Raw genomic sequence first — 22,430 nt, 5'->3', positions numbered from 1 at the left:
CAAAGTCCTTGTCCGAATGTACTGGGTGGGTGGGGGTATCCTGGCAGCAGAGCCCTGACTATGCCCTCTCACCCTCTGCTCCTCGCTGACAGAGTTCCCTCAAGGCAGGGTATACAGCTGGCACTCAGCCAGGCCTCCAGAGCCTGGGCTGCAAAGATTCAGTGTTTGGTGGCTGGTTTTATATATTTATTTGAGACGGAGTTTTGCTCTGTTGCCCAGGCTGGAGTGCAGTGGCACGATCTTGGCTCGCCACAACCTCCGCCTGCCGGGTTCAAGCGATTCTCCTGCCTCAGTGCCCGGCCCCTATTTTTTTTTTTTAATAGAAAAATGTTCCTTGCACCACCAACTCTTTCCTGGGCAGGGTTGGGAAACCATTTCCAGATGGGAAATAATTTTAGGGAAGAGAAACAGCTAAAATTACAGGCCATTCTGCTGCCAGCTCTCGCTGGGATGAGCCAGCCATGGCCCTAGAACTTTCCCAAAGTGGGGTGGGTGGGTCTGGGTGGGGAGAGAAGCCAGGATGGACTGTTGAGATGGGATGTCCCTCGGGCTGTCCATGTTCAGGCCTCGTGAGCATCTCCGAACAGCCTTGGCGGCTGCTTCTGGGGGCTGCTCGCTGATATCAAACACTCACCCATCCCCCTTCAATTCTCACCACGACCCGTGAGGGCAGAAGCTTGGAAACATCCCTGGTGTAGCCTCAGGATCCAGCTGCCGTTTTACAGAAAATCCCAAGGACAGAACGTGTTGAACCATGACACGGTGCTGTCATCAGCCTAACCCAGACCCAGGGATCTCTGCAGGTTAAATGGCCCAGGTACTGCGCAGGTAAATTGTAAGGAAAAGAAAGGGATGGAGGAGGAATAGAAACTAAAAGAGACATCAAGTTTTTAAAAAGTGGGCAAGATTAAGTATAGTGTCTGGGGCTGCTCACATGGTTGGTAAAACAAGAAAGAAACACAAGTGATATCCATAACACTTAGGGTAGCAGTGACTTTTGGGAGGGGCAGGGCTTTGAGAGGACAGGGTTCTGCAGGGGTTTCCAGGGGTGGCAGGCAAAGTTACATTTCTTGACCTAGAGGTGGTCACGAGGGTGTTCAGTTGCCTTATAATAAATCATTAAGTCACATGCTTATGCTGTGTGGTTTTTGTATCTGTATCTGTTCTATTTTTCAAAAAAAAAAAAATCCCAAGTTTAAAAAACAACAATAACAACAAAATATCCCCCATGCAGATGAAGAACGGGGGGCTTGGAGGATTGAAGTGATTCTTCCATGCGGAGTGAGTGGGGAGCTGGAATCTGAACCAGCTTATAAGCCACAGCCTGTTTATTCATTCAACAAATATTTGCCAAGCCCCAGGGCTGTGCCAGGGACTGGGCTAGCAGCGAGTGAGAGAGACATCCTGTCCTCATGGAGCCCAGAGGCTCAGTAGTCAGCCAGGTTAGAGAACCGTGACACCCTCCTGCCAGGGTGCCTGCCAGGTATCTTGGAGGAACTGCATCTTGGGGATAGATGGCTGAGCTCACAGGATTTAAGTGAAATCTCCAGGGGCTAAAAGCAGATATGAGTTGGAAATTGCAGCCTGACCCGATGCCTGAGGTAGGGTTTGCCTACCATGGGTGGGATCAAAGGGACTTTTAAAAAGACTTCTAATTTTGATGGCCAGGTGCAGTGGCTCACGTCTGTAATACCAGCACTTTGGGAGGCCGAGGCGGGTGGACCACTTGAGGTCAGGAGTTCAAGACCAGCCTGGCCAACATGGTGAAACCCCATCTCTACCAAAAATACAAAAATTAGCTGGGCATGGTGGCGGGTGCCTATAATCCCAGCTACTCGGGAGGCTGAGGCAGGAGAATCGCTTGAACCCGGGAGGCGGAGGTTGCAGTAAGCCGAGATCACGCCACTGCACTCCAGCCTGGGCGACAGAGTGAGACTCTGTCCCCACCCCCCAAAAAAGAAAAGAGAATCCAACTTGTACATCTGAACTTGAGCTCAGACATGTAAATTATCCCCTTGTTAGCCACAGGTTCGACCTCACTTTCTTCTTTTTTTTTTTTAGACAGGGTCTCGCTCTGTTACCCAGGCTGTAGTGCAGTGGTGCAATCACAGCTCACTGCAGCTTTGATCCCCCAGGCTCGAGTGATCTTCCCACCTCAGCTTCCCAAGTGGCTGGGACCACAGGTGGGTGCCACCACACCTGGCTAAGTTTTAAATATTTTTTGTAGAGTTGAGGTTTCGCTGTGTTGCCCAGGCTGGTCTCGAACTCTGGGGCTGAAGTGATCCTTCCACCTTGGCCTCCCAAAAGGTTGGAATTATAGAAGTGAGCCATTGCATCCAGCCGTCACTTGCTTTAAATTAAAATTTTTAATCAAACAAGGAAAAGTGAACCCAGGTTGGCAGGCTGAGCCCATCCCTAGCTCCAGGGATGAGCACTTGGCCAAGGCCTGACCGATTAGAGTTCAGCATCTGGTGGCCACAGCAATTGGTAACAGACGGGAAGTGAACCAAGCCAGGCATATGGGCATCTTCCCAGGAACTCTTCTAGGTGTGCAGGGAAAGAGACTATATTTGTTCGCTAGAACTGCCATAGCAAAAGACCACAGACCGGGTGGCTTAAGCAACACAGTTATTATCTCACAGTGCTGGAGGCTGGAAGTCCAAGCTCGAGATGCCGGCTGTCAGGGTTGATTTCCGTCAAGGCCTCTCTCTTTGGCCTGCAGATGGCGACCCTCTTGCTGCCTCTGCACACGGTCATCCCTCTGTGCATGTGCGCTCCTGAGGTCTGTTCTTCTTATAAGGACACCGGGCAGACTGGATTAGGGCCCACCCTAACAACCATTTAAACGTAACCACCTCTTTAAAGACCCCATCTCTAAATGCAGTCATATTTTCAGGTCTTGGGGGTTGGGACTTCAACATATGAATTTTGAGGGACCACAATTTAGCCCATAACAGAGGCCTTCTCTTTCCACTGAAGTTGCTATTCAGGATGAAAGCAGGCCTTGAAATATTTCCATGACAACAGGATGCCCAGAGGTGGGCTGGCACAGGGTGCTCCCTGGATGACCCCTTGCAGGAAGGAGGCTGCCTACCTGGGGCTGGGACATAACTTCACTACCTTCCTAGGGCCATGAGGAAGGGCGCCTCTCCCCAGAGTGGCAAAAACAAGAACATGCAGTTCTGGCATGGATGTGGGGAAATGGGCAGTCTCTTTCCCTTTTGGCAGCCCCTAGCAATAATAGAACCATACATCATCTTTTGATACAGCAATTTCGCCTGTAGGAATCTCTTTCCCCAAACCTACTAGTGCATGCTTACAAACACACGCACCTGTGGGGTTGCTCAGCACGGTGGTTTTGTAATAGAGGAGGATTGCAAAGAGCATTAAGGGCCATCAGCAGGGCCCTTGTTTATTCCATCTGGAGAATTCATTACTTGGGGTCAAAGCAGCTTCGCTGCTTCCCAGCTGTGCAGGCTTGGGAATGTGTCTGGGCCTTGTGGAGAAATGAGGTAATGAGAGCACCCACCTCTAACGTCCTTGTGACCAGTTGATGAGCTACTGCATGCGGGACTCTTGGGATGCAGCAATAGTTTCCTGTGTGTGCACAATGTGCTTTTACTTTTTAATTTTGATTACGATTTTTCTTTAGATGAATATTCTGCATATGTATACAATGTGCTTTTTTTTTTTTTTTTGAGATGGAGGTTTGCTCTCATCACCCAGGCTGGAGTGCAATGCTGCAATCTCAGCCCACTGCAACCTCCGCCTCCCGGGTTCAAGTGATTCTACTGCCTCAGCCTCCAGAGTAGCTAGAATTACAGGCGCCCGCCACCACGCCCAGCTAATTTTTGTATTTTTAGTAGAGACAGAGTTTCGCCATGTTGGCCAGGCTGGTCTCGATCTCCTGACCTCAGGTGATCCACCTGCCTCGGCCTCCCAAAGTGCTGGGATTATAGGCGTGAACCACCATGCCTGGCCTACAATGTGCTTTTAGCTGAGAGGAATGGCATCATGCAAAGACCTTCCTACTCAACGTATGGTTCCAGATCAGCAGCACAAGGAGCACCTGGGAGCTTGTTAGAAATGCAGCATCTGGGCTGGTCGGGGTGGCTCGCACCTGTAATCTTAGCACTTTGGGAGGCCGAGGTGGGTGGATCACTTGGGTTCAGGAGTTCAAGACGAGCCTGGGTGACACAGTAAGACCAGGTCTCTACAAAAAATACAAAAATTAACTGGGTATAATGGCATGCACCTGAAGTCCCAGTTACTTGGGAGGCTGAGGCAGGAGGATTACTTGAGGCCAGGAGTGGAGGTTGCAGTGAGCTGTGATCATGCCACTGTACTCCAGCCTGGGCAACAGAGCAAGACTCTATCTTAAAAAAAATGCAGTGAATGCAGCATCTGAGTCCCCACCCCAAACCTATGAGCCAGAATCTGCATTTTATCATAGTCCCCAGGGCCCCAGTGTGAACATGGGCACGTTCGAGTTTGAGTAACATTGCCACTGACCTTGTTCTGAAACAATTGGAAATTGGTGCTCCCTTTTCCCTGGGGTTGCTGAGCTGGTGAGAATAAAGCTGGGAGTGGCAAGGGGCAACCTTGGTCACATCATGACCTGGAGAGTCTGTGTGGAGTAAAAGAGATGAGAGCCAGAGGTAGTGCATCTTTGTAGACATTGATTTAGCATCTGGATCCAACCATGCCTGAAGCCTATCTCTACTCCTGCTTTTACCAGAGACAGTTGACGTAAATTCTCATGACATCAGCCAATTTGAGTCAGGGTTCTGCTATATTTTTCATCTGATAGAGCCCTGCCTAAGATACCCACTGTATGGGCTATGGAACTTCCTTGCCTTCTTTTCTTTTCTTCTCTCTTTTCTTTTCTCTTCTTTTCCTTTTTTTGAGACAGAGTTTCACTCTTGTTGCCCGGGCTGGAGTGTAATGGCGTGATCTTGGCTCATTGCAACCTCCCCCTCCGGGGTTCAAGCGATTCTCCTGCCTCAGCCTCCCGAGTAGCTGGGATTACAGGTGTGCCCCATGATGCCTGGCTAATTTTGTATTTTTAGTAGAGACGGGGTTTCACCATGTTGGACAGGCTGGCTGGTCTCAAACTCCTGACTTCAGGTGATCCAACCACCTCGGCCTCCCAAAGGCCGAGGGATCACCCAGAAGACAGGAAGACCCAGGCCACAGAGAGAATACTGCAGATATCATGAGCCACAGAGCCCTGAGCCACTGACCTGTCTCCCAGGTCTTGGCTTGGGCCTCTTCCAGAAGCAGACACTTAGAGAGTCCAAGGGCAGGGAACTTAGCGGGGAGCTGATCGCAGGAAGCTCTGAGAGCAGAGGGGAGGGGGCAGCTGGTACTGCTGGGTGTCTAGATGAGCAGGTTATCAGTTGGGCAGCTGGGGCTCCGTCCTGCTGGGGCCTCTGGGAGTGGGTGCAGAGTCCACCTCAGGGTTGCTCCTCCCCAGGCCCCAGGAAGCTGGAGGATTTACCAACACCCCCATCCAGCAAGCATAGGCCAGAGAACCACTGCAGGAAAACAGAAACCTCTCCCCTGGACGTGGTGCCATCAGCCCAGAGCTGCCAGATCCCCAGGCCTCCATCCTCATCTGGATTGAAGCAGCCATCCGCCTGGAAAGGGCCTGTCTGCCTGGAAAGAAACTTCAAATGCGGCTTTGGGGGGATTCCAGAGACTGTCTGTTCCCATCTGTGCAAGAGGGACACTGAGTGTTCAAAACCTAAGGAGGCCTCGCTGTGAATCAGGCCAGAGCAGGGGCTCACCTGGGAGGGGGGTCTCCTGACATTGTGCCGGCACCTGCTGGCCTCACCTAATGCCTGGCCCTGCCTGAGAGCAGACCAAGGGAAGATGAGACTAGAACTTTAGGAAGATCGCTCTGGCCGCTGGATAGAGAAGGGACTGTTGTGGGGAATGGGGGACGAGGGTAGAGTCAGGGAGGCCCAGGAGGGGTTGTTGCCACTGTCCATCCATGCAGTGAGGCCCAGAGGGGTAGTGGGAGTGAGGGAGGCTGGGTTTGCAACTCTGGGGTGAAGGGACCTCCATTTTGTTCAGTGATACGCCCTGCCCTTCTCTATCCCATACAAGCTGTGTGACCGTGGGCAAATTACTTCACCTCTCTGGGCCTCAGTTTTCTCATCTGTGAAATGGGGGCATGCTTCTCTATACCCACCTATATCTAGAGGGTGATTGTGGGATTATGAGTTAACACGTATATAGCACTTGGCCTGTAGTAAGTGCTACAGAGTGTTGGCCTCTGTTCTTATGATAGTTATTGTTACTGTTAGTATTAGTATTCTTATTATCGTCATCTCCCTCCAAATTTCACACCAGTGAATCCAGACTCCAGGCAGCCATGTAAATCTGGGGTTTAACTCTTGAAACTGAGTATGTCATCCACTTATCTTGCTATGACCTCAAGAGTCCCAGCCCCAGATATCTGAGACCCTCGTACCCCCTCCCAGTGCTCCAGGACCTGCCTCACTGAATTCCTGACCCTGATCGCAGTCTACCCTGTCGGGCTGGGGCACTTGGGCCGTGTCACCTCAGTGTGGGCCTAGACAAGGGAGCTCATGGCATGTCCTCCCTCCTGTTTCTCCCTGCCTGTGCGTCTGACCCTGTCAGTTGAACCTGTGACATTTGCTCCTACAACTGGCCACTTCTCTGTCTCTATGGCCACCACTCTGTCCAGGCCACCTCTGCAACTATAACAGCCTCCTTGATAATCGTTGACTCAAAAGGGAGGTTTTGTGTTCAATTTCCTTTATTTATCTATCTATCTATTTGTTTATTTATTTATTATTTTTAGAGATGGGGTTTCGCCATGTCACCCGGGCTGGTCTTGAACTCCTAGACTCAAGCGATCCACCTGCCTTGGCCTCCCAAAGTGCTGGGATTCCAAGCATGAGCCACTGTGCCTGGCCCTTGTGTTTAATTTCAAATCACACAGCCTGTTGCACAAGTTCGAATAATATAGAAGCATATCTAGGCCGGGTGCGGTGGCTTACACCTGTAATCCCAGCACTTTGGGAGGCCAAGGCGGGTGGATCACGAGGTCAGGAGTTCAAGACCTGCCTGGCCAAGATGGTGAAACCCTGTCTCTACTAAAAATACAAAAATTAGCTGGGCATTGTGGTGGGCGCCTGTAATCCCAGCTACTCGGGAGGCTGAGGCAGAGAATTGCTTGAACCCAGGAGGCAGAGGTTGCAGTGAGCCAAGATTGTTTCACTGCACTCCAGCCTGGGTGACAGAGTGAGACTCTGTCTCAAAAAAAAAAAAAAAAAAAAAAAAAGAAGCATATCTAAACTTAAGACCTTTTGTTAACTCTGGAAAGATGTTAATAGTAGTGATTTCAGGGGAGTGGTTAGGGACAACTGGTTTCATATCATTTGCATTTCATTGCTTAGATTTTGTGACAAGTGAGCATTGCTTTTATATTTTAAAAATTATGTTTAAAACATAGGTAAGACATTTAAATGGGAAAAAATTCAATGACAGAAAAAAGTATCCAATGAAAACGAGTGTCTCTCCCCACCCTTAACCCCCAGGTTTCACTTTCCCTAAGCAATGCTGCTTCCAGTTTCCCACGGGCTCTGCCACTGAAAGTCTGTACGTACGAAAACACACATGATTGTATGCACTCTTTATTTACATATATAGATGCATGTTACACCCAGTGTCTTGCAGCTTGCTTTTTTTAACCTAACATACCTATCATTCTTTCTAATTCATCACACATACCTGTGTTGTCCTTTTTCACAGCTGCATAGTATTCCACTGCATGGCCGGACCATATTCATTAATAGTTATTTTCTTACTGATGGCCCTTTAGGTTGTTTCCAGCCTTTTCTGTTATAAAGCAATACTGTGGACCAGGCACAGAAGCTCACGCCTATAATCCCAGCACTTTGGGAGGCTGAGGCTGGAGGATTGCTTGAGCCCAGGAGCTTGAGACCAGCCACAGCAACATAGAGAGACTTCATGTTTACAAATGAAATAACAAGCTGGTTGTGGTGGTGCGTGCCTGTGGTTCCAGCTACTCAGGAGGCTAAGGTGGGAGGGTCACTGAGCCCAGGAGGTTAAGGCTGCTGTGAGCTGTGATTGCGCCACTGCACTCCAGCCTGACAGAGCAAGGCCCTGTCTCAAAACAACAACAACTACAAACAATACTGTGGTGACTGTCTTTGTACATAGTGTGGTGTGTGTGTGTGTGTGTGTGTGTGTGTGTGTGTGTGTGTGTGAATGTATCTGTGGGAGAAATCTCTGGAAGTCAGATTTTATAACAGATTTGTGCATTTTACATTTTGATCCATATGACCAAACTGCACTTTGTAGAGGTTGTACCAATTTATTCTCCCACCAACAATGTGTGAGGGTGCCTGTTTCCCCACAACTTCATCAGCACCATGTATTGTGAACTTTCTGATGTTTTTGTCACTCTAATAGATGGAAGCAGGTGTCTCAGTATGGTTTCAGTTTCTATTTTTAAATGAAGAGTGAAGCAGAGTACCTTTTGCTTGTTCAGTGAAGCATAGTGTCATTGGCCAGGCGCAGTGACTCACGCCTGTAATCCCAGCACTTTGGGAGGCCGAGGTGGCGGATCACCTGAGGTCGGGAGTTTGAGACCAGCCTGGCCAACATGGCAAAACCCTGTCTCTACTAAAAATACAAAAAATTAGCCAGGCGTGGTGGTGGGCACCTGTTCTCCCAGCTACTCGGGAGTCTGAGGCAGGAGAATCTCTTGAACGTGGGAGGTAGAGGCTGCAGTGAGCCGAGATTGTGCCACTGCACTCCAGCCTGGGTGACAGAGTGAGACTCTATCTCAAAAACAAACAAAAAAACAGCAACAAAAAACCGTAGCATCATTGTCACATGTCAGGAAGCTCCATTGTAAAATATAAAAATAATTTAAAACAAAATAAACATATAATAATAATTTAGGCCAGGCGCAGTGGCTCACGCCTGTAATCCCAGCACTTTGGGAGGTTGAGGCGGGTGGATCGCCTGAGGTCGGGAGTTCAAGACCAGCCTGGCCAACATGGTGAAACTCCATCTCTACTAAAAATACAAAAATCAGCCAGGCGTGGTGGCGCGAGCCTGTAATCCCAGCTACTGGGGAGGCTGAGGCAGGAGAATCGCTTGAACCCGGGAGGTTGAGGTTGCAGTGAGCTGAGATCAGGCCATTGCACTCCAGCCTGGGCAACAAGAGCGAGACTCCGTCTCAAATAATAATAATAATTTAAAACAAAATAAATTATTTTGTTTTGTTTTCTCCTTGAGCCTCCATACCGAGGCCCATGATATATGTCCCTGGATGTATATGTGTCCTTGTGAAACAAGCAGAATTATTTTATGATGAGTGTTCTGATTTGCAGAGTTCTCCTGTTCCTCACTTGCTTTCCCCGGCGTTCTGTTTCCCAGATCTCTGCCTGTAGCTGTGCATGGCCAAGTGTCTCTCCCCATGCTGAAAAGCCACTTACTTCATTTCTCTTTCTTTCTGGGTGAGCTGTTGCTCATGTGGAACATTTTTGGGGTGGAACATTTTTCAGTCATGAGGAAACTTGGACCCTCAGTCGGTTTCCTTTGAAGCCAGGGAGACACGTGGGGCTGGAGGGAGGGCACCCCAGCTTTCCTGTGACTCATCTGGGTCCTGCTGGGCCACACAGGCAGTTCCCACATGGCAGGACCACGCCTGGGCAGCCCCCTGCAGGCACTGCTGGCCTAGCCTTGGGAGGGGAGCTTGTAGGGGTTGTGAGGGGCGCTCAGAGAGAGGGCTCATGGCCAGGACTGTCCCCTTTAAAGCTGCCGGACTTCAGGCCTTCTCTTTGGGGCTCCCCGACACAGCCCAGGGCCCACCCCTCTTTGTGGGCACAGGATGGGTGTGGAAGGGTAGGGGCTAAGTCACAGCTCTTCAGCCCTCAGCATCTCAGCTCTCCCCGAGTCTCCTCATCAGTAAGACGGGGAGGACCACTGGGGTAGCTGAGTCACCTTTCCTGCCTCCCTTTGGCGGCCACAACATTCTACTCCAGCACCCACGCAGTCTCCAAGGGTCTACTGAGCACCTGCTATGCACCAGGCATTGGACATACATAAAGCAGCAAACCACGTGCCTTCCTGGAGCCAACGCCTGGTGTGTTTGGTGTGTGTGGTCAGCAGACTCATGCGCCCTTCCCCAAGACGTCCTCATCCCTGGAACCCGTGAATGTACAAGGTTACACGGCCAAGGGGAATGGAGGCTGCTGAGCAGTCTCCTTGAGCTGGGGGAGACGACCCTGGATTACCCAGATGATGACATCGTGACCCAGTGTCATCACAAGGGGCTTAGTGCAGGAGGGAAGCAGAGGTGTTGCAGGCGGAGGGATGCAGCATGGGAAAGATGGCCTCGCCGTTGCTGGCTTTGAAGATGGAGGTTGGAGCCGTGAGCCCAGGAATACAGGTGGCCTTGAGAAGCTGGAGGAACGGATTCTCCCTGTGAGCCTCTAGAAGGAACGTGGTCCTGCCCACACCTTGATTTTAGCCTGCTGAGACCCACTGTGGGCTTCAGCCCTCCAGAACTGTAAGCTCACACATTCATGTTATTTCCAGCTCCCAAGTTCACGGCGATTTGTTACAGCAGCAACAGGAAAGGGAAACACAAATAAACACGTGTAACATATGTGTCCCACCATCCTAAGCACAGCAGGGTCAAAGGAAGCCAGATGGAGGCTAAGGACTGTGGGGGATGTTTGCATTTTTAAACAGAGTGAACAGGTAGGGAGGGTCTCACAGAGAAGGCGACATTCAAGTAGAGGTCTACAGTAAGCCATCTGCATAATGGGTGAAGTGAACCAGGCAGAGGGAATAGCGTGTGCAAAGGCCCTGAGGTGGGAGCAGGGCTGCTGTGTTCAGGGCTGAGCAGGCACCATTGTGCCTGCGTAGAGAGATCAAGAGGGGACAGAGGGAGGAGAGCCCATGGAGGTTGTGGGGGTGCGGGTCAGATGAGGGCCTGGTGTATTAGAAGCTGCTGGACAAATGCATTCCAAGGTCCTACGAGCCATGCGGGGACAGAGCTCCCAGCCTCCAATGGCAGAGCATGTTTCTCCAGAAGCAGGGCTTGATCCGCCCTGTTCCCAGCTCTGCCCAGGCCTGCTGAAGGGGTTTGCACGTCCCTGAAGTAAGGAAGGGGTGTGCTTACCCCCTCTCTGCCACCAGCTCTTACCTTCTAGGCCAGCCCATTGCTTGGAATGTTTTCTTCATCCCAGTGCCTGATACAGCCTGGTCCTGGCAGGAAGCGGAGGCTGCAGTGCACCCAAACAGAGATATCGTGACCTTCCTGTCACCCTGGAACTGCCAGGCCTAGAGGAGAAGGCGGCACTGCCTCCCTTGGGATCAGGGCTCAGGGGTTGCCCTGAGCTTGGGCAACAGGGCTGCAGCCGAAGGAGAAAGGTCACTGTTTCCTCTTCACTTCCTGTGCTCTGTGACCTGGGGCTGGTGGCTCACCTTCTCTGGGCTTTGATCTCATCTGTGCCACGAGCAGTTAGATGAATCATGAGTTGCAAAGAAACGGCCTGCAGCCACATCCCGTCCACAGATGTGTTTAAATGTTTTAAATTAGTTGCCAATACTTAGAAATTGGGAAACTTCTTGTAAATCTCTAGATTTCTGGTTTTTCTTGAGAAACCAGATATGGCAGTGCTTGTGACTAGAGCTGAGTAGCAGCTGCCTCCGTCCCCACCCAGCTCCCTCGGTGGTTTCTGGCTCCTGCCTGGCTTTTGGAGTCTATGAGTTTGCAACCCTGGGCTCTAGAGGCCCTTCCAGCTCGGATTTCACTAATTCATGCAACAGAAATCCTTTGAGTGTTTAACATGTGTAGGACTCAGAGATAAGTCTGTTTTACAGATGATGGAAGGGAGGCTCAGAGAGGGGTTGTGACCTGCCAGAGTCACACAGTCAGTGGCGGGGGCTGCATCTGAGCCACACTGGCAATAGATGATCGATCCAAAAGGGCTTTAGCCAAAATTCATTGAATACTGACTATGTGCCCAGTGCCAGACCACAGCCCCTAACCAGACAGACAAGATCGTGACTTCCTGGGCCGATATGGCAGTCCCTGGAGCCGAGTGATCAACAGATAAATATGTAATGACACCTGGGCTAGCTGGGAAGGTGCAGATACAACCTGGGGTGGTCACAGGGAGGGAGGGGGCGACATTAGCGCAGTTTCCTAAGGAATGAGGGTTTGAGGCCAGACTCGGTGTGGACTCCCTTCCTCCTCTCATGTCTAGTATGGATCCTTTGGCAAGGGCCAGGAGACTGGAAGGGGAATCCCTCCTTGTGGCCGATTTTCCACTAAGACGGTGGTGACGCGTGGCTCAGGAGCCAGGCTGCCCGCCAGGGTGTCTGCTGCTCATCCACCATGCGACCTCAGACAGGGACTTAATCTCTCTGCACCTCAGTCTCCAAATCTGTAAAATGGAGTCAATTTGGGTGTCTAGCTCACAGGGGCGTGGTGGCAGGATGAAGTGAATTACAAATTCTAGTAAGTGAGTCACCTGGGACATTGGGCTGTGGTCTACAGTGAGGTGTGATCCCTGAGGAGAGAAAGAGAGGCTACAAAGATCAGAGCGTGTCCATCCTCTGAAGGACTGGTCAGGGATTAAAGGACTGTAGGAGACGTGGGACACGTGGTAGGTAAAAAAAAGCGGCCGTGTGTGCTGTGTAGTCCGATCTCATGGACAACGGTGGGACTTGAACCACTGCTGACTCTACCTGCAGGAATTTTCCACCTCGGTGGAGGGTGGGACTAACCTCCACAGGAGGCTGGGATTAGTATGTGGTCATCTATCCTCTGGTGAACCCAGCCAGCCGGGGGGCACCTGGGCAAGGGTTTGAGGAGGAGGGAGGAAAGTGGAAGGGAGGGAAGACGGTTGTGCCTGGAGGCGCAGAATCCTGTGTCTCCTGGCAGGGAGGAGCTGGGGTTCTTGGCCATTTCTGAGCAAACAATAATGTCTTCCCAATACATTGCAGGCTCACCACTGCCATTCTCTGTGTGCCTGACAGAGACAGAGATGCACAGGCCTTTCGCCCTCCACCTCCTCTCTCTCTCTCTCTCTCTCTCTCTCTCTCTCTCTCACACACACACACACACACACACACACACACACACACACCCCCCACCTGGATGCATCTTCACCTCTCACCCCCTTTTAATGTCCCAGGAGTTCAGCCCCAGCTCAGCCTGCTGGTTCAATGCAGGAAGAAAAACCACAAGTTTCCATTTTGTCCATACAGAGAAGGGACTGGGGCCTCAGTAGAGAGGCAGTGCCGAAGCCCCAACCCCTCACCCCACCGCCTTTTGCTCCCCATCATCCTTGGATCTCCCAGGAGAGGAATTATCCCAGATCAGAAGAAGATGGAAGCAGGAATGAGGGAGGGTAGAGGCTGAGAGACACCTGTACAGTCCTGCTCTGTCCCTCACCTGAACCTTGCAGGCAGGTAGTGAGCCTTCAGTAAATGTTACATGGATGGATGGATGGACTGGTGGATGAATGGGGGTAGATGGGAGAATAGATGAATGGGTGAGTGAATGAGTAGATGGGTGAGTGGGTGGATGAATACATAGGTGGATGGAAGAATAGGTGAAATGAGTGGGTCAATGAGTAGATGGGTGGATGGATGGATGGATGGGTGGATGGATGGATGCATGGGTAGATGGATGGATGGATGGATGGTGGGTGAGTGGATGAAAGGGTGGATGGGAGAATAGATGAATGAGTGAGTAAATGAGTGGATGGGTGAGTGGATTGAGGACAGATGAATGGGTGGGTGGGTGAATGGATGGCTGGATAAATGGATGGATGGATTGATAGACAGGTGAGTGGATAGATAGATGGATAGATGGGTGGATGGAAGAATGGATGAAATGGGTGGGTAAATAAGTGGATGTGTGGGTGGGTGGGTGGATGGATGGGTGAATGGGAGAATAGATGAATAAGTAAATGAATGGATGGGTGAGTGGATGAATGGATGGATGGATAGATGGATGGACAGATGGATGAATGAGTGGGTGAGTGGGTAGATGGATGATTAGGACTTAATCCTGAGAATACTGGACTTGGAGGAAAATTACTGGGTCATTAGGATCCTGACCACAGAGTCATCCAGGCCAACTTCACCTCCTCTCCTCCTGGTTCCCTCAAGCCCAAGCATCTTCAGGGAGAGGAATCTCCTCAGAGCAGGAGGATAGAAATACAAGGTAGAAAGGGAGCAGGTAAGGGATGAGAGGACCTGTGGGAACATGGGTCTGGACGAACAATAACCCAGCCTCTGTGGTATCTGGCTTTGTACAGCTCTGGAGTCAGGCAGCCGGGGTTCAAATCCCAGCTCTATTGCCTCCTTGCTGTGTGACCTTGGACAAGTTACTTCACCTTCCTGGGCCTCTGCTTTTTCATTGGCCAAATAGGGTAAAAATAGTACTTCCATGAGCTAAAGGTTGTTATGAAGACTCTGTGGGAGGACGTGAGGCATTTTGCACTGGGTGTGACATGCTGTTAGTCTCAGTAAACATCAGTGACTATTATTTCATGCTTGTCATTGTTCCATGTGCTTTCTATAAATGAGCTCATTTGATTCTCTTAATCTATGAGGTGTGGGCTAGTATTTTTTCCATTCCACAGATAAGGGCTGGGGAGGAGTCCTTGGATGGCTCAACTGGAAGGAAATCTCCCCAGACAGCTGCTGTTAGCAGGAAGGGAGTTTGGATCTGGGGCCTTCCACAGGGTCTGCGGCAAGTGGGTGTTGGGATGAATTGGAGAAAGATCATTGAGAAAGCCTCGGGTTGGAGTTAACTTGTCTTGAACACCTCTCTGACACCTGCCAATCTCCTTTTTAAGAAAGACACAACAGCCTCAGGCTTAAATTTTTTTTTTCAAGAGAGTATCGATTTTCTAAAGCCTCAGGCTTAGAAACTACAGTAGCAATCATACCCTGTGAGAATTTGATAACTTTTTCACATCTTCATGGAATTTATATGCATAGGGTTTTCCTTTCTTTCTCTCTCTCTCTTTCTTTCTTTTCTTTTTTTTTTTTTTTTTTTTTTTTTGCTATTTATAGCAAGTATGTGCTGATACTGGCTTTCTGTTTCTAGTGATATTGTCAAGATTCCTTTAAATGAGTTTCTTTATATAAAAAGAAAAATGCTAAGTTGTAATAGAACAGAGGGTATAAAGATGTGGCAAAAACCAAACTGAACACACACACACACACACACACACACACACAACCCCAGAGATCATGGAAAACAGTTTACTTAGCACATGCACGCAGTCATCCAAATCACACTGGCTCTCATTCATTCATTCATTTACATGTTTGTTCAACAAGTACTTACAGAGCACCTACTATGTGTTTGTACACAGAGAACAAGATAAAGTCCTCTTCTTATGGAGCTGACAACAACCCGGCAAAGAATCAAACAGAATCATTTCATCAAGTCACAAGTACAATGAAGGAAACTATGAGTCTGTTCTCACACTGCTATAAAGAAATACCTGAGGCTGGGTCATTTATAAAGAGAAGAGGTATAATTGGCTCATAGCTCTGCTGGCTCTACAGGAAGCATGGTGGCATCTGCTTCCTGGGAGGCCTCGGGGAGCTTTTACTCATGGCGGAAGTTGAAGGGGAAACAGGCATCTTCACATGGCTGGTGCAGGAGGAAGAAAGAGAGAGGGGAAGTGCCGCACACTTTCAAACAAGCAGATCGCATGAGAATTCACTATTGGGATGACAGCTCCAAGGGGGATGGTGTGAAACCATGAGAAACCGCCCTCATGATCCAATCACCTCCCACCAGGCCCCATCTCCAACATTGGGGATTACGGTTGAACAGGAGATTCGGGCAGGGACACAGATTCAAACTGTAACAGAAACACACATGTGAGAGAGACGTGTAAGGAGATTTGGAGAAAAGGCCTCCTTTGGCTGGGGTGGTCGGGGATGTCCTCTCTGCGGAGGCGACATGTCAGCTGGGACTTGGTTGATAAGAAGCTGGCTGTGGGGAGACCATGGGGAAAGACTTGGCATTAGGAACAGCAAGTGCAAAGGCCCAGTGGCAGGACCCAGCCTGAACGTTTGAGGAGCAGAAAGAAAGTCAGTGTGGCTGGAGCTGAGTGAGTTGGGGGAGAGTGGGAGGAGAAAAAGTCAGAGAGGGAGCAGGGACCAGAAACCTAGGGCCTCGAGAAACATGGGGATTATTTTTTTACAGGGATGTTAGACATTACTACTATCTTTTAACAATGGGCTGGAGGAACCCACACAGATGGAGAAAGGGTGCCTCAAAGGCCCACCACGAGCTCTTGGGATGGCGGTGCAGCTCCATGCAAGTGCAGCTGAGGGTACCTGTTGAGGAGTTTATTGTCCTAAGCAAGGGGATTTGAAGGAAGGAATGGGGGGCTGAGGCCAGCTGCTGCCCAGGCACCCGGGTTCAGCCCCTTGAAAGATCTCCTTGCTTCAGGGAGCCAGGCTGGGACTGGCTTAGCCCATCCATCTTAAAAAAAAAATATTTTTTGAGATAAGGTCTCTCTCTGTCGCCCAGGCTGGAGTGCAGTGGCACCATCATGGCTCACTGCAGCCTCCACCTCCCAGGCTCAAGTGATCCTCCCACCTCAGCCTCCCATGTACCTGGAACTACAGATGTGCACCACCACATCTGGCTAATTAAAAAAAAATTTTTGCAGAGAAAGGTCTTGCTGTGTTGCCCAGGCTGGTCTTGAACTCCTAGGCTCAAGTAATAAAAAAATTTTAAATCATCCAAATAACTCATGGAGATATTCTCCTTTTAATACATTAAAACATCATATGTGAGGCTCTGAAGTCCCCACCTGGGCCCCAGCACTCCCAGCTCCCCTTGTCCTACTTTCTCCCATAGTTTTTAGCACATCTTCCGTACTGATGTCTTCCTTGTTTGTTTCATGTCTGTCTCCCCAGGGAGAATGGCAGAGCCACAATAGGAAGGTATTGGCTTGTTTTCTTCCCTGCTGCCTCCCTAGCACCTGGCATGGTGTCTGGAACATGGCAGGTGCTTAATAAATATGTATGAAATGGATGAATGAATGAAGTCATAAAGAATGAGAACTCTCTATCCCCATTCCAGTCCTTCCTTGTGCCCCAGGAAGTAACTCATCTTACCTCTTTGGAATTTGCTCTTCTACATCTTATCCCCATGGTTCTCAACCAGGGCAGCTTTGCCTCTCAGGACACATTTAGCAATGTCTGATGACATTTTGGTTGTCACAACTGATGGGGGCGAGGGGTGCTACTGGAATCATGCCGGTGGGATGTTGCTAACCATTCTATAATGCATAGGACAGCCCCTTAGCAAAGAATTGTCCAGCCGTAAATGTCAGTAATGTCAAGGCTGTTGTTTAGATCCTGGAATGTTGTACTGCTGTTAATGGGGAGGTTTTTCTCTGCTGACCTAAAAAACCTCCAAGATTGGTTACTAAGAGAGAAAAACAGGCACAGAATGACGCACACAATATGATACCATTTATATTTTAAAACGCACCAAAAAAAAAAAGCCCTTTGTATTTTCCACAAGTCTATATAAACGTGTGTGGGTTGAGTTGGGTTTTTAGCTCTTGCCACAAAAGCAACTGGGAACTGAAGAGAGTTGGACGGGATGGTCTCCAGCATCTCTCCAGCCCGGATGTTCCCTGAATCCTTAAGTGGAGCAAACACTTGCTAAAGGAAGCGCCATCTCTAAGAAGGCAGGGAGACCAGGGCGAGACTTAGCAGCGGGAGGGAAGAGCAGGGATGGCAGGAGGTGTCCAGAGGCAGGGACACACACTGTGTGCTAAGGCCCCACCACTCCCAGGCATGGCTCCCAGACTGGCGGCTGCTGCGTTGCCTGGGAGTGCATTGGAGAAGTAGCATCCCAGGCTTCACCCCAGACCTACTGAGTCAGAATCTGCTTTCCCACAAGCCCTCCTGGTGAAGAATGGCTTTTGGCTTAAAAACACCCAGAGACACTTTTTTTTTTTTTTTTTTTGAGATGGAGTCTTGCTCTGTCGCCCGGGCTAGAGTGCGGATCTCGGCTCACTGCAAGCTCTGCCTCCTGGGTTCAGCCTTTCTCCTGCCTCAGCCTCCCGAGTAGCTGGGACTACAGGCGCCCGCCACCACGCCTGGCTAATCCTTTGTATTTTTAGTAGAGATGGGGTTTAATTTCACCGTGTTAGCCAGGATGGTCTCGATCTCCTGACCTCATGATTCGCCCACCTCAGCCTCCCAAAGTGCTGGGATTACAGGCGTGAGCCACCGCGCCCTGCCCAGAGACACATTTTTTATCTTACAAGAGAGAAGAGTGGATAAAACTGCATTTCTCTCTGTTTCCACATCTCTCTTAAACATCTTCTAACACTTTTTCTGCTTTAGTGGAGGAACAAAGAAGGAAAAGAAAATGTAAACACACAAGTGCGTGCGTGCACCCACACACACACACACACACACACGCAACATCAACGATGTCATGTACAATCCAAGTGATGGCTAACAGGCACGTATTTCTTTAATGAGCACCATTTCCGATGAAAAACATACTTCAGGCTCCGTGCAATTCTTCCACCAAGATTTGCAAGCTCTGGGGTCATCGTAACCTAGAGGTTAGACGTGATGCTTTGGACACATGAACAACAGTCTTGGCAGTAAAACCGTTTGACAGCATGATGCCCTTATGAGTTCCATCATCTGGAGCAGAACCCATCAGATGGAGCAGAGCCTGTCATTTTTGGTAGGGAGCGGAGCCTGCTGCAGCTTAACCTGGCAGGACCTTGACTTTGATTACTGAGCTCATTCAGGAGCTGCCTTCACCATAAATCCATCTTCTCTATCGGCACAAAGTCAGGCCTTTTATAGCAACCATCTGTATAAACAAAGTATTCTTGTGTCTAAAAAAATGACTTCTTCTCTGGATAAGATTTTTTTTTTTTGAAACAGAGTTTTGCTCTTGTTGCCCAGGCTGGAGTGCAGTGGTGCAATCTTGACTCACTGCAGCCTCTGCCTCCCAGGTTCAAGCGATTCTCCTGTCTCAGCCTCCTGAGTAGCCGGGACTACAGGTGTGCGCCACTACATCCGCCTAGTTTTGTATTTTTAGTAGAGAGAAGTTTTCACCATGTTGTCCAGGCTGGTCTCAAACTCCTGATCCGCCCTCCTCAGGCTCCCAAAGTGCTGGGATTACAGGCATGAGCCACTGCGCCCAGCCTTTTTTTTTTTTTAAACAGAGTCTCGCTCTGTCACCCAGGCTGGAGTACAGTGGCTCAATCTCGGCTCACTGCAGCCTCCACCTCCCGGGTTCAAGCAATTCTCCTGCCTCAGCCTCCTGAGTAGCTGGGATTACAGATACCCGCCACCACACCCGGCTAATTTTTATATTTTTAGTAGTGATGGGGTTTCACTATGTCGGCCAGGCTGGTCTCGAACACCTGACCTCTGGCAATCTGCCCGCCTTGGCCTCCCAAAGTGCTGGGATTATAGGTGTGAGCTACCACACCTGTCCTCTGGGTAAGATTTTTTGACTTAATTTTCCCTTCACCTCCAACTCCCTTGCTTAAAAATATCAAGACTGAGCCGGGCATGGTGGTTCATGCCTGTAATCCCAGCACTTTGGGAGACCGAGGTGGGCAGATCATTCGAGGTCAGGAGTTAAAGACCAGCCTGGCCAACATGATGAAATCTTGTCTCTACTAAAAATACAAAAATTAGCCAGGCATGGTGGTGGGTGGCTGTAATCCCAGCTACTGAGGAGACCGAGGCACAAGAATTGCTTGAACCCAGGAGGCGGAGGTTGCAGTGAGCTGAGATCGCGCCACTGCACTCCATCTTAGGCAACAGAGTGAGACTCTGTCTCAAAAAAGAAAAAAAAAAAAAGACTGGACCAAAAAAAAAATTGTAATTTTATTCCCCATGTCTCTTAAGAAAACAAAAACATATTTTGAATTCTACGCCTCCCTGAGTGAGATGGCTGTGGTGGCAGTGGAGCTCACTCTGGAAGGCTTTAGATGCCAGGATGAATGTTTATTCCTGGCCTCTGACTACTTTCTCCTGACCTCTGACCTCTGGCCTGTCCCCTTCCTCTTTCTCTGGATTCTGTCTCCCCAAATTTCTTGGACCCACCTCCAAAGCCCCACTCCCCATGCAGGAAGGAAAAGAGCATTCACAGGATAAATATTTAGCCCAAAGGTCTTGGAGAGTGTTTTTGGGAGGCTCCCGGCAGTGGGGCTCCAGGCATAGATGACCTCACCCAGCTTCTCCTAACAGTGCCACCTTGGTCCTTCTTGCCTGCCCTCCACGTCCCATCTCCCTCAGTCCCTCTGTCCAGGGCAAATGGTGGTAGCCTCTGGAGGGGGATTTGGCTCTCTCATAATCCCCATCATCGCTTCTACAACCACCCCCAACAAACGCTCACGCAGCCCATCTGCTTAGCAGGTGTTTCCAGCTGCCCCTTCGGAAAAGACCACTGTCCCCAAGACCCCCATATAGACCATCTGGGCCTGCCACTGCATAGATGTGGCCTCCTTCACGGCAAAGGTTAACATCCGGGGCTCCGAGTCAGACCTGAGTTCAAATCCGGCCACTTCTTAGCTGGGAGACTGTGGGCAAAGGGCTTTGGCTCTCTGAGCCTTCAATTCCCTCCTTGTAAAAGGAGAATAAAGCACTGGTTCTTAACTAGGGGTGATTTTGCCTCCCGGGAAACCTCTGGTAATGTCTGGAGACAGTTTTGGTTGTCATAACTGGAAGGTGGGAGTGTTAATGGCATCTAGTGGGTAGAGTCCAGGGGTGTTGTTAAATATTTGACAGTGCACAGCACAGCCCCTTAATTAAGGAATTATCCAGTACAAGTGTCACTAGTGTCGGGGTTAACAACCCCTGATGAAGTGCTACCCACACTGTCAGGTGGTTGTGAGGATGAAGATCAGGAAGCAGCTAACACGGGGCCTGGCCCACGCTAAGCACCCAGTCCGTGACTGCGAATATGGGTTTTATGATCAACCTCTTTTGGTTTTTTTGCTCATCCTCTTCTCTCCTGCCCTAGACCAACTCCAGAGAGCTTCTTTCGCAATCGAGCATACAAGATCGGCACCACCTGGCACGGTGCAAAGGAGCCACCCCACCCGTCACCATGTCCACACCCTAGCCACAGACCTCTCCCCGGAGTCCCACTGCTGCCTCCTCACTGGCTTCCCTGCCTCCTTGCCTGCCCTCCTCCATTGCTTTCTCCCCACTGCTGCCCAAGGGAATCTCTAAAAACCAGTGTTTTTGAGCACTAGGAGGGCTCTGGATCTATGTAGAGCACTTTACCTACATTATCTTATTGAATCCTTAGAACAAACCTTTGAGGCAAATGCTAAGATTGTTTCATTACGGAGGAGAGAAAACAGGCTCAGAGAGGTGTCGTAAGTGACCTAAAATCACAGAGCAAGTAAGTGGCAGAGCTGGGATTTGAAACCAGGTTTGTCTGAGATTAGACCTTATAAGTGGGATGTTAGCTGCATCTCCTACTCACTAAAACAGTGGGTGTGCTTCAGAATCCCCTCAGAGGGGGCCTGCTACAATGGGGAGCCACATCTAGGGTGGACCCCAGGAACCCACATTTTGACAACCTCCCCCAGCTCCTGTCGTAGGCGATTCTGATGCTGGTGGTCTATAAGCACTTGGAAAAAGCCTCTCAGATCCTGCTGCTCTTCTTCCTAAAACCATCGATGGTTCCCTTTTATTCTCTGAATTGAGTCCAAAGTCCTGGACACGTGGCCTTTTCTCCCATTCACTCTAGTGTTTGAGCTTGCATCTGGTCTTTCACCCCTGAGCATTTGCTCAGGCACGCTCCCTGCCTGTGACACGCTGCCAGCCTTCCTTCTCCCTGGGCCTGGTGGGTTCCCACAGGTGCTGGGCTGGGAGTTAGGACTTGCGGGTTTTAGCTTCATGGGATAGCAGTCTCCCAGCGTAACCCTGGACGACACATCCTTCACTCCCTTTGGGCCTTAGTTTCTCCACTGGAGCCACAGAGATTTGACTGGATGCTGGCTGTGTAAACAGAGACGGCAAAGGCAGGCTCTTGCTGCCAAGCCAGGCATCTGGGCCTCCCCATCTGTTTGCAGGTCAGCAGCCTGTGTTCCTGGCAGGTGCTAAACACTCACTCATGCTGCTGAGAAGATCCAGGGAGGTCTGGCTCCAGCACCGTGACTGCAGTTGCTTGGGCCAAATCAATGTTTCCACATCTTATCTCTAACTGGCTCAGTCACAATATTTAGACACTTGGCCTCAAGTTGAGAAATTTGGTGACTCAGGGAGATAGCAGCTGTGGCCGGCTCCTGACCCCTGAACCCTCTACCCCTGATGGGGACACACCCTCCCAGAAAGAGGAATGGACTTTCCCT

The 22,430-nt window shown here is 50.0% G+C and overlaps 1 long non-coding RNA gene across 2 annotated transcripts, besides 1 other annotated feature; it reads right to left on the bottom strand.

Moving 5' to 3' along the window:
* Positions 1–2,412: 2,412 nt before the first annotated feature.
* Positions 2,413–11,481, bottom strand: LOC105372651 (uncharacterized). Of its 2 annotated transcripts, XR_001754713.2 has the most exons (4): positions 11,222–11,481; positions 4,513–4,627; positions 3,530–3,597; positions 2,413–2,789 (listed from the first exon to the last, which is right to left on the bottom strand). It is a non-coding gene; the product is annotated as an uncharacterized LOC105372651 (long non-coding RNA). The 2 variants fall into 2 exon arrangements; XR_936822.3 differs by lacking the exon at positions 2,413–2,789 and having other exon boundaries at positions 3,298–3,597.
* Positions 9,790–10,290: an enhancer, noted in NCBI's record as "H3K4me1 hESC enhancer chr20:48212298-48212798 (GRCh37/hg19 assembly coordinates)". NCBI's record gives its function as "activates a minimal SCP1, AML or CMV promoter by ChIP-STARR-seq in primed H9 embryonic stem cells {active_cell/tissue: H9 hESC(primed)}" and the evidence as "EXISTENCE:reporter gene assay evidence [ECO:0000049][PMID:30033119]".
* Positions 11,482–22,430: the final 10,949 nt, after the last annotated feature.

The sequence above is a fragment of the Homo sapiens genome, chromosome 20 (assembly GCF_000001405.40).
Source record: "Homo sapiens chromosome 20, GRCh38.p14 Primary Assembly".
Taxonomy (NCBI): domain Eukaryota; kingdom Metazoa; phylum Chordata; class Mammalia; order Primates; family Hominidae; genus Homo; species Homo sapiens.
The sequence above is the reverse complement of the archived record's forward strand: the minus strand, read 5'-3'. Positions and strand labels throughout refer to the sequence as shown.